Raw genomic sequence first — 12,127 nt, 5'->3', positions numbered from 1 at the left:
TTCATTACCAAACATTAAAAAAAAATTATCACCAAAATTAATAGTAATGCAGTCATTTTCAACAAATTCCACAATTCTGGACATTGGTAATATCTATAAAGAAAACTGGTATATAACACTTAGTAAGCATCAATAAAATAGTTTGCTTTAGTAAGCATCGATAAAATAATTTACTTTCTAGACAAGAATGAACAGACGAAAAACAAGAGGTAAGAAAATAAGCATTCTTTTTCTAATAAAATGAACTTAACTAATTAGTGGTAGTGCTTTATTATTAATACCTATGTGAGCAGATATTACACTAGGTCTTTTTTGTGTATAATCTTATTTTATCCTCATTTGAAGGAACAAAGTTTCAGAGAAGCTAACTAAATTAGTCAAAGGACACATAGAACAACTGATATATATTATGTACACTAGTGCCTAAAAATTTATCTTCAGTACTAACCACAGTTAATGATGATGTCTTAGAGAAATGGAATGAGGAAAGTCAGTGCCAAACTCAGGGTATTTCTTATGAATTAAAAAGCATTGATAAACTGTACAGCCTTATAGTAACAGGAGGGGATGGGCAGAGAAAACAATGGAATCATAAAAGCAATAAGGCTAAATTACTATTTATTATAAGAAAAAATGTTAATTTCAGAAATTAGTTGATGCCTGTTAGGAAAAAATAATGAAAAGGAAATACAACAAAACAGTAAAAATGGTCACCTTTTGGTGGTGAAAGTTTAGAATTCTTTCTTCTCTCAAAACTGGTTTAAAAATAGATTTCAGGATTACTTATTATGAAAGTAATATAACTATTAAAGAGATATTTCCCAATCTCAGATGACTGACAGAAGCAGTAAAATCAAATGTCCTTGGGCATGTGTGGTATTCTCCTGCTATAATAGCCCCTTGCCATTAAGTTCTAACAACTTTTCCAAATATTGGGCACAGGATGTGAAAGCATTGTCCTTACCACACATCAGTTTTTAAACAGCAATGATGTTCACTGCCTGCTGAAATGAGTGTTCACCAAAAATAATAGAAGTGTATTCTCATACCAAGATCCGGCGTAAATATCTAACCTCTCTCTGGGGTCTATCTTCCTCATCTGTAAAATGGTGTTAATCCCTATACTGCAGAGTTGTTAAGAAAAATACATAAAAAGTGCTTAGCCCAAGGACACGAGCATAACGCTCAATATGGCTGTCACTTATATTATCAGATCATTATATTCATTACTATCATTATCAACCATAACTGACCATAACCTTAAGGTGGGAGAATTCTACTTAGTCTCATTCACTAAAAAACTACAATTGGGTATATATGTTCACTAAGTCAAAACCTTTGGTTAGGTCAATGAATGATCTTTGGTGCAATTACCACATTTCTCTAAAACATTTCTCTAAAACAGTAGATTCTCTCTGCTGTGTTATAATTCTGGGAACAGTCTGAAGTTCAGAAAATGATTTACAAGTTTAGTTCTAACATTTACCCACCCTACTCAGTCTAATCACCAGGAATGAATGGTTCTTTCCCAATCTTTTAGCTATAAAAGTGCCACTGGCCAACGACAATTTCTTCACCTCACCTGTTTCTAAAGCTCTCTAATCACAAAATTAAGAAGCAACTATATTCTAGAGTTCTCCTATAGGCATAACTTTCCCTTTTGTTTTAACAAAAATAAATAAGAAGAAAGAAAAATCTTAAGTCTGGTTTTCTTTGATCTCTAGAGAATGCCTACATGACTGGATGTTTCAAGATTCCCTTCTAGAAAGAATTTGTAAAGTAGGTCTTGCTTCACTTTTCCAAGAAAAAATTCACTGGGAATGAACACTCAGACTTCAGTTATTTGAATCTAATCTTACATTCTTGTACCCACTCTGCCTTATAAAAGATTTTCTTCAAAATTATCCAAAGCAATTTAAAAATGCCTACCTCAGCTTGACAGAGTGCATGAAGACCCTGTAATACCAAGGCTGCTGGAGTAGCTTGATCAGGCTTGGTGCATTCATTCAACACTTGAGAAATAGCTGCCAACATATCTGCACCATGTTGATATGGCCTACAAGAAATGAAAGTTTAAAAGCAAAATTAATGCTAAAGTGCAGTTATCACTCCCAGATCTTTTGCCTAAACAAAAAGCATCCATCATTTTCTATACTCTTGTGCCACTAAATGGTGACCCTCAAATATTAACACCATGTTTTTTCTTCAAAAATGTGCATCATGATCATTTTCTGCTATAATTTTATGCTCGTTTTTATATAGAAATAACCCAAAAAGACACTTTTTAACAAATTTCATTCACTCTAAATCACAAATCCTATTGTCTGAATTGAGAAAAACTCAAGGCTGTAATAATGGTAAAAAGAACTGAATTACCTAATTGAGATTAGTAAAGATAGAGCTATTCTGGCCTGATAGTATCAGATACTCATTACAAAAGCAGGAATTTGAAAACAGAAGATGATTTGTGGTAGTAGCAATACTAACTAGGGTGGTTACACCTATCATAATGATGATAAGGATAAAAATTATAAAAACTATAACCGACTGAGCTCCTATCTCATGCCAGGCACTGTGCTAAATTCATTCACTCATCCTCCTCCCCTTCCTCTCCTTTCTAATCCACATATATTGTGCTATCCCCAGAATACCATTAATTTCATGGTTATGCAAGTCTATTCCCTGAATTCCTTGTTTCCTTTCAATAATATCTTTTCTTTTATTAACAAAATGTAAATTGATGAAATTGCCTGTCAGAAATCTATTGTTTCACTGTCCCACAAGTGGAAATAATTTTCCAAAATGAAAAAATTTGACAGATCTGGAGGTAGTAACTGAAAGGAATACTAAATAAGTTAGCAGTAGACTGATCTGGTCTGATATTCAGTCTATCCTGAGCCTCAGCTTTAATTATATAGAATAAGAATGTCAGCCAATAACTTTTATCTCTGAATTTTTTTCCATGCCAATAGCTCAGTAAAATTCAAACTCCCAATTCTTGGGTTACACACATGTAACTCCTTTTTTTTTTTTTTTTTTTTTTTTTTTAGTAACTTTTACATTGAGGTCATTTTTGTGTTGCTAAAGATGGAAGCTTAGAAAAGAGGTAAAAATGCTAGGGCTTAGCTTCTGTATATTCTGATCCAAATTTTACTTGAAACAGGAATCATCCATGTTATCAGCATCTGGGCCAACCCACTGCACAGCTTCAGAGAGTAGCATTCACACTGCTGTCATTAACAAAAGTGAGAATGACGTTACCAGGAATTCAACGCAGTGGCTGATCAACAAATGAAACTGCAGGACTACAGTTTCAAATGCATCAAGTCCATTTCTTCTGTAAACATTTTTATCTTACCACATGCAAGAAAAAAAAATTTGGATATGGTAGAGCTTGACTTGTATTATTTCAGTCTTGTCACCTCCACCCTGTTTATTAATCCATAATCTAGAACAGCAGAGTCATCTTCCTAATTTCTTTATGTTTTCCTAAAAGCTTACAGCATACATAAAAATTCATCATCATTTTCTTCCTTGTTATAATTACAAATAATTCCATTTCCAAAAATAAGGTCTCCCCATTAAAACTACTTATCTCCCTACTTAAACAAAGGGAGAATATAAGAAAGAATAGTTTATGACAACAGTCTACTGTGTAGTTTTCAGGGATTCATATACAGAAAAATAGAAAACATAACATCACATGTTTTACTGCAATATTAAATTATTAATCAGAAAACGATATAAATATCCTACGAACCTAGATACAAGACTAGTCCTGAAAAGAAAAGACATACTTCTCAAAGCTATTGTTCAATATTATTACATTTTATAATCAGAAAACTTAAGTTAAAAAATTATTAGTACTTATATATCCTCTGCCTATCTTTTCTTGCCTCTTGCTTGCAATTAAAAAATTAAATACAAAATAATATATCATGATATACATTCCTAAGAGTTAATGACATCATACCTCTGCTTACATATATCTCTGATTGATGCTGCTTTTGCAATCAGTTTCTCCCATTGGACTTCCTTGCCCACCGAAAGAGAAGGTACATCAGACACAGCCATGAAACGCTGCAGTTCAGGATAGACTCGGTCCTACGAAGGCAATTTTACAAAAAAGGTAGTTTCCCAACTTGAGTTGAATAATCATTATCTTCCTTTTACTCAGCATTTTCACCTCCAAATCCTCCATTTGCATTGCAAATTATACTGTCGTTCTTCTAATCAGCAGAGAAGATTGCTATAGTGATTACTGGGGATTTTCTTATACACCAATGTACTGTTGATTTCATAAAACAAGAAGAAAGTGGCTAAATCTCACCCTAATTACAAAGGCTCTAATCATTTATAACTATATTTCCATTACTTTCTCAAGCAAATGGAAAGATACATTTCAGAAATAAAGAAATGAGATTTTATATTCTCAATTTCTCTGAAAGTTAACTAACTGCATTACAAATGCATCACAATAAATCAAAACTTTTTCAATGCAATCACTGATGCCACTCATTAATACCACTAAACCAAAGCATTGCCATATATGACATAATTATTTTCCTTCAGTGAAAGGAACATATTTAATACTCATGCAAGTGTATATCTGAAATTACCTGCTTTTCCCACAAAGATGTCAGCAAGCGCAAAGTGACAGCTCTTAGTCGTGGTGTGGTTCCAAGTAGTTGTATTATTCGTAGAATTTGTCCTATACACACCTAGAAAATATTGAAGAAACTCTAGTTGCATAAACTTGAATGCAGACAACCTCGAGGTTACCAAAAGCATTTTTAAACCCCTTGTTATAAAATGAAGACTGAGAAGAAAGCTTGCTGCAATATTACCCACCTTCTTAGAGGATGAAAAATAGCGTTGGAGGGGCTAGATAACAATCCTGGGGACATAAGGACCTAATCTCAGAGAATAGCCAAAGTGAAAACTTAGATACTAAGTAATTTAAAACAATTAATTATTAAATATTGTAATAAATACTTTTGTCTTTAGATATTACCTCCTAGCTCAACAAGAGAAGTAGTGACTATGGCAAAATTTAGGGCTTAAAATTTCATAATACCAAAAAGAATTCAAAGTATTATTCATGACTCACTTTTTTCGCCAACTAAATTAATTAACATACTAACCTTGTGAACACCAAGCTTAGGTAAAGTATACAATATATCATTATATAATATAGGTTCCAGTGGTCTTCCCAATTTGAACATCAAAACTGGAATCAGATTTGGCACCTAAAATGAATTTTTAAAATATATTAAATATGCCTTGTTACAAAAAAGTAATATATAATGGAATATTTATCTCTTTTTTTCCAGAGGAATAATATGAATATGAATGAATTGGAAGACTTAGAATATATCAGTTAGCTATTACTTGCTAATGATAATTTCATAGTGTCACTAGTATTCTACCACTTATAATTAGCTGCCAAACACCAATCGAAAAGTGCTTTTATTGAATAACTATAACATCACTTCTGAGAAATACAATAGTAGTTAAGATACACCCTGCCTTGCCAAGCATGGTGGCTCACACCTGTAATCCCAGCACTTTGAGAACGCAAGGCAGGAGGATTGCTTCAGTCCAAGAGTTCAAGACCAGCCTGGGCAACACAGGAAGACCCTGTCTCTACAAAAAACTTTTAAATTAACTGGGCATGATAGTGCACACCTGTAGCCCCAGCTACTTGGGAAGGTAAGGTGGGAGGATCACTTAACACTGGGAGCTCAACGTGGCAGTGAGCCATGATTGCACCATTGCACTCCAGCCTAGATGACAGAGCAAGACCCTGTCTCAAAAAAATAAAAAGATATATCCTGCCTCAAAGAAATGTAAAGTTCTAATGAACAGCCAACACTTAAGGTATGTAAACAATAAAATTTCACATAATGAAACATTCAATTAGGTTACTCCAATAAGAAGTAACTGAAGTCAGTGTACTATAAAGGAGCCAATGGACAAAAATTTCCCTCTAAGTCCTCATTTCAATCTCTATGCATGACACAATAAAATGTGAAAAGAAATACATTCATGGATTAGAAGACATAACATTGTTAAGACATCATTATTTCCCAAATTGATCTTGAAATTAAATGCAATCTTTATCAAAATTCCAGCTGGCTTCTTTGCAAAAATTGAGAGGCTGATCATAAACGCATGTGTAAAAGCAAGGAACCCTAAATACCCTAAATAATCCTGAAAAAGAAAAACAAAGTTTGAAGACTCAAACTTCTCACTTCCAAATTTACCACAAAGCTAAAGTAATCAAAACTGTATGGTACTGGCATAAGATTAGAAAGACAAATCAATGAAATAGAATTCAGAGTCCAGAAATGAGTACTTATATTTATAATCAATTGGTTTTTGACAAGGATCCCCAGAAAAAAACAATAAGGAAAGAAGAGTCTCTCGGAGGGATAGTGCTGGAATTCAACAACTGTATATCCACATGCAAAAGAATCAAGTTGGACCCCTTTCTCATACAACATGTAAAAATTAACTCAAAATGGATTTTAGAACTAAATGTACGAGCTAAAACTATAACACTCTTAAAGAAAATATAGGATTAAGTCTTTGTAACATTGGGGTAGACTAAGCTCTTAGACATGACAACAAAAGTACAAGCCACAAAAGGAAAAATGAATTTCATCAACGTAAAAATGCTTGTCCGTCAAAAGATACCATAAAGAAAGTGAAAGGACAATGTACAGAATGGGAAAGAATATTTGCAAACCATATAGCTAATAAGAGATTTGTACCCAGACTATATAAAGAACTCTTAAAACCCAATAATTTACCCAAAAAAAAGGTTTTAAAATAGGCAAAGGATCTGAATACACCTTTCTCCAAAGATGATAAACAAATGGCCAATACAGGAAAATATGCTCAATTTCATGAGACATGATGGAATGCAAATCAAAACCATGAGATACCACCTTACACATGATGCAAAAGCTATCATCAAAAGATGGACAATAACAAGTGTTGCCGAATATGTGAAGAAATTGGAACCCTTGTACACTGCTCGTGGTAATGTAAAGTAGTTCAGTCCCTTTGGAAAACATTCTATCAATTTCTTAAATAGGTAAACATAGAATTACCATGTGATGTAGCAATTCTATTCCTAGTTATCTACTTAAGAAAAAAGAACACATATGTCCACACAAAATCTTGTAAATGAATTTTCAGAAAAGCATTATTTACAATGGCCAAAAAGTGGAAACAACCCAATGTCCATCAACTGATGAATAAACAAAATACAGTATAACCATAAAATGGGATATTATTCAGCCATAAAAATAAATAAAGTACTGATACATGCTACAACATGGATGAACCTTGAAAACATTATGCTAAGAGAAAAAAAAGCCACAAAAGGCCTCATGTTATATGATCTCATTTATATGAGCAGAATGCCCAGAACAACCCAATGCCCATCAACTGACGAATAAATAAACAAAATACAATATAACCACACAACAGGATATTATTCAGCCATAAAAATAAAGGAAGTACTGATACATGCTACAACATGGATGAACCTTGAAAACATTATGGTAAGAGAAAAAAAACAGCCACAAAAGGCTGTATGTAGAGATAGAAGGTAGATTAGTGGTTGTCTAGGATAGGGCAAGTAAGAAGCAGGGGGTGGTCAGGAAGGGTGAAACAGGCAGTGACGTCTTATGGGCATGGGGTTTCCTTCGGGGGTAATGAAATGTTCTCAAATTCGTTGTAGTAATGTTTACAAAACTCTGTAAATATAATAAAAGCCATTGAATTGTACACTTCAAATGGATGAATTACATGAGATGTAAATTATATTTTAATGGTTTTTTAAATTCAATTCAAAATTATTTGGTAAATATCTACTATAAGCAAAGCACTTACTTGATAGCACAAACTGTAATGCCAAAAAATTTTATTTGCCATATGCTATATTTCAAAAGTTTATTGTCCAGCAGTCATTCCTCAGTATCTACAGGGACTGGTTCCAGGATGGTCAGACACACAGATACGCACACCTCATTCCATGGATAGCAAAATCCAGAAATGCTCAAGCATCTTATATAAAATGGCATAGGTATTTGTATACAACCTATGCACATCCTTTCATACACTTTAAATCATTTCTACACTACTTATAATGCCTAAAACAATGTAAATGCTATGTAAATAGTTGTTGTACTATATTGTTTATTCATATTATCTTTATTGCTAAATTCTTATTTTTATTTTCTTCCCCAAATATGCTCTGTCTGCAGCTGGTGAATCCACAGATGAAAAACCAGCTAATATCAAGGGCCCACTGTATTTGTTCATTTTCTCTATCTGTTCTATTCTTAGAAAGCCTGTTCCTTCTAACCTTCGAAGACATCTATTTTAATTCAATTTCAAAAAGGAAAAAATATCCTCTTAACTTTACCACCAAGACATTGACAATTAAACATTAATTCATTAATGACCCTGACCACGATATACCACAGCAGCATGTGGAGCTGTGCATGTAATAGCTATGATCTCACAACAGACAGCCAAAATGTATGATGTTTTTAACAAGTGCAGAGACTTGATTGGAACAGGAATTCTATCACTCTCACTTTCGGCAAATGAAAGGAGACAAATTTTTGAACTGACTTTTCAGTTCCCATTTTAATTAAAAACAGAAGGTTATCTTAAATTGGCTTACAGTGATCTCAACGCATTATCCCCTTCTAGAAAGATTTCTACCAAGACACAATGACAGATTCTTAGTTTTTAGAAGGGCAATGAGTATATTTACTGACATTTTATAAACTAGTGTATTTAGTTGTGTGACTTTTAAACAAATGCTATAATTATACTGTCAGGGGAGAAATAAAGTACTGTATTTATGTCTAAGAGTACACAGTTCCTTTATGAGACTTGGCCCTAAAAAAAGCACGTAAGGGTGTGTCTTTTCCTCTGGCCAGTTCAGAAATGAAAAAAGAAGGAAATGTTTACAGTAAATAATCTTAGACTTAATACAGTTCTCAAGGCATAATAGCCCAAATTCAGTCCCCAATTAAATGGAAAAAATAAAACAGGGACTGTTTCACTAGGAAAACACAGATATAGATAGACATCTGTGGAAAATAATTTTACATAAAAGATGGACTAATTTTTTATTATTATTATTTCCTTGTGAATATGTATTTACTTGAGATGTAATTACCAGCTCTTGATCCTCCTAATCTTGAATCTTATACCCTTCAGAGGCTGAAAATACAATGAATGCTCAGATTTCGCCTTTAATATAAAAGAAGCTGGTAAGTGTCCTATAATTGACTGTCTCAAGATCTGGCTTCATATAACTCAATGCTTTCTCTTCCCTCCTCCAGCGTTTAAGTTCCTTGATAAACAAATTAATTTATAATCATGGGACTGTTAAGGGAGCCCCTATAAGACTATGACTAGATTTCTCAGCAGAAATCTTGCCAGCAAGAAGGGAGTGAAATAATATATTTAAAGTGCTGAAAGGAGTGGGCAGGGGTGGGTGGGTAGGTACTGCCAACCAAGATACTGGATACTATATCTGGTAAAACTATCCTTCAAAAACGAAGGAGAGGCCGGGTGCAGTGGCTCGTGCCTGTAATCCCAACACTTTGGGAGGCCGAGGTGTTAGGATCACCTGAGATCAGGAGTTCGAGACCAGTTGGGCCAACATGGTGAAACCCCACCTATACTAAAAAAAAAAAAAAACTACAAAAATTAGCTGGGTATGGTGGTGCATGCCTGTAATCTCAGCTACTTAGGAGGCTGAGGCATGAGAATTGCTTGAACCAGGAGGCAGAGGGTGCAGCAAGCTGAGGTTGTGCCACTGCACTCCAGCCTGGGAGACAAAGCGAGACTGTCTCAAAAAAAAAAAAAAAAACAAAAAAAAAAAAACAAAGAGAAGTAATGATATTTCCAGATAAACAAAAGCTGAGAGAGTTCATCACCACTAAACATGCCTTACAAAAAATACTAAAAGTAGTCCTGCAAGGTGAAACAGAAGGACTCCAGACAGAAACATGAGAGCATATGGAAATATAAAGTTTACTGGTAATACCTAAACAAAGAATCCTATAATATTGTAACAGTGGTGCGTGAATCACTTTTAATTCTGGTATAGGGTTTAGAAGGCAAAAGTATAAATAACTAAAAAAACCATGTAAATGGATGAACTTTATTAAAAAGATGTAATTTGTGACATTGGTAACATAAAAAGGAGGGAGAAGTAAAAGAGTAGTTTATGTATGTGATTGAAGTTTATGTAACTTGTTATCAGCTTAAAATATTGTTAGATATTGATGTAAGTCCCATGGCAACCATAAAAAAAATACACATAGAACATGCACAAAAGAAAATGAGTGGCTGGGTACGGTAGCTCATGCCTGTAATCTCAGTACTCTGGGAGGCTGAAGGTGGATGGATCACTTGAGGGCAGGAGTTCAAGACCAGCCTGGTCAACATAGTGAAATCCCATCTCTACTAAAAACACAGAAATTAGCTGGGCATTGGTGGCACATATATGTAATCCCAGCTACTTGGGAGGCTGAGGCAGGAGAATCACTTGAACCTGGGAGGCGGAAGTTCCAGTGAGCCAAGATCGTGCCACTATACTCCAGCCTGGGCGACAGAGTGAGACTTCATCTCAGAAAAAAAAAAGAAAAAAAGAAAAAAGAAAAGAAAATGAGTGATGAATCAAAGTGTCACTATCAAATCAATGAAACATAAAAGAAGACAGCAAGAGAAGAAACAAGGGACCAAAAAAATGCTATAAGACAGACAAAAGCAATTAACAAAATGGCAATAGTAAGTCCTTTCCTACCACTAAGTACTTTCAATGTAAATGGATTAAACTGCTCAATCAAAGACATACAGTGGATTCCGAAAACCCAAACAAGATCCCACTATAATAACGTCTACAAAAGACTCACTTTAGATTTAAGGACACACACAGGCTGAAAGTGAGAAGATATTTAATACAAATGGTAACCAAAAGACAGCAAGGTTGTCCATATAAAAAATCGTCACAAGAGAGAAAGAAGGACATTATATAATGATAAATGGGTCAATTCACCAGGACAATACGATAATTATATATATGCAACCAACATCATAGCACCCAGATATATAAAGCAAACATTGACAGAACCAAAGGGGAAAATGGAAAGCAATACAGTAATAGTAGATGATTTCAATATCCTATTTTAAATAATGGATAGAACATCCAGACAGAAGATCAATAAGAAAACAGAGCACTTCAACAACACTGTAGACCAAATGGTCCTAACAAACTCACATAGAACGTTCTACCCAACAGCAACAGCATGTTCTCTCTCAGGTGCACACCGAACATTCTCTAGGATGGACCACGTGTGAGATCACAAAACAAGTCTTAACAAATTTAAGACTGAAATCACACTAAGTACCCTTTCCAACCACAAATTAGAACCATAATGAGATGTCACCTCATACCTGGTGGGATTAACATTATTTAAAAAATCAGAAGTATTGACAAGGATGTGAAGAAATTAGAACATCTGTGCACTGTTGGTGGGAATGTAAAAAAGGTGTGGCCACTATGGGTAACAGCATGAAGGTTCCTCAAAAAAAATTTTTTTTAATCTACTCTATGATCGATCTTGAGGTTGTTTATGCAAAAGAACTGAAATCAGGATTTTGAGGAAATATTCACATTCCCACATTCATTTCTGCTTTATTCATAATACTCAAGAGATGGAAACAACCTAAATGTCCATCCCGGGATGAATGGATAAACACAGTGTGGTATATGCATACAATGGAATATTATTTAGTCTTTAAAAAGAAAAATTCTATCATATACTACAACTTAGATGAACCTTGAGGACACAATGCTAAGTGAAATAAGCCACGGAAGGACGAATACTGCATTATTCCACTTATATGAAGTATCTAAAGTGGTCAAACTCTTAGAGCAGAAAGTAGAATGGTGGTTGCCAGACAGTTGGGGAGGGAGAAGTGGGGAGCTACTGTTCAATGAGTATAGAGTTTCAGTCATGCAAAATAAAAAAAGTTCTAGAGATCCACCGTACAAAAATATTCATATACTTAACAATACTGTACA

The 12,127-nt window shown here is 34.2% G+C and overlaps 1 protein-coding gene across 19 annotated transcripts in view; it reads right to left on the bottom strand.

Moving 5' to 3' along the window:
• Positions 1-12,127, bottom strand: part of FOCAD (focadhesin) — a 340,326-nt gene that overhangs the window by 170,906 nt on the left and 157,293 nt on the right. For 15 of the 19 annotated variants that reach the window (XM_047423537.1, NM_017794.5, XM_017014855.2 and 12 more), the window contains 4 exons: positions 5,145-5,249; positions 4,620-4,721; positions 3,974-4,104; positions 1,930-2,056 (listed from right to left, as the gene is read on the bottom strand). In XM_047423537.1, the coding sequence (XP_047279493.1) occupies positions 1,930-2,056; positions 3,974-4,104; positions 4,620-4,721; positions 5,145-5,249 (465 nt within the window). The remainder of the gene's footprint in view (positions 1-1,929; positions 2,057-3,973; positions 4,105-4,619; positions 4,722-5,144; positions 5,250-12,127) is intronic. The other 4 variants (XM_047423539.1, XM_047423535.1, NM_001375568.1 and 1 more) reach the window with 1 other exon arrangement.

The sequence above is a fragment of the Homo sapiens genome, chromosome 9 (genome assembly GCF_000001405.40).
Source record: "Homo sapiens chromosome 9, GRCh38.p14 Primary Assembly".
Taxonomy (NCBI): Eukaryota; Metazoa; Chordata; class Mammalia; order Primates; family Hominidae; genus Homo; species Homo sapiens.
Note: the sequence above shows the minus strand (reverse complement) of the source record. Positions and strands in the feature narration are given on the sequence as shown.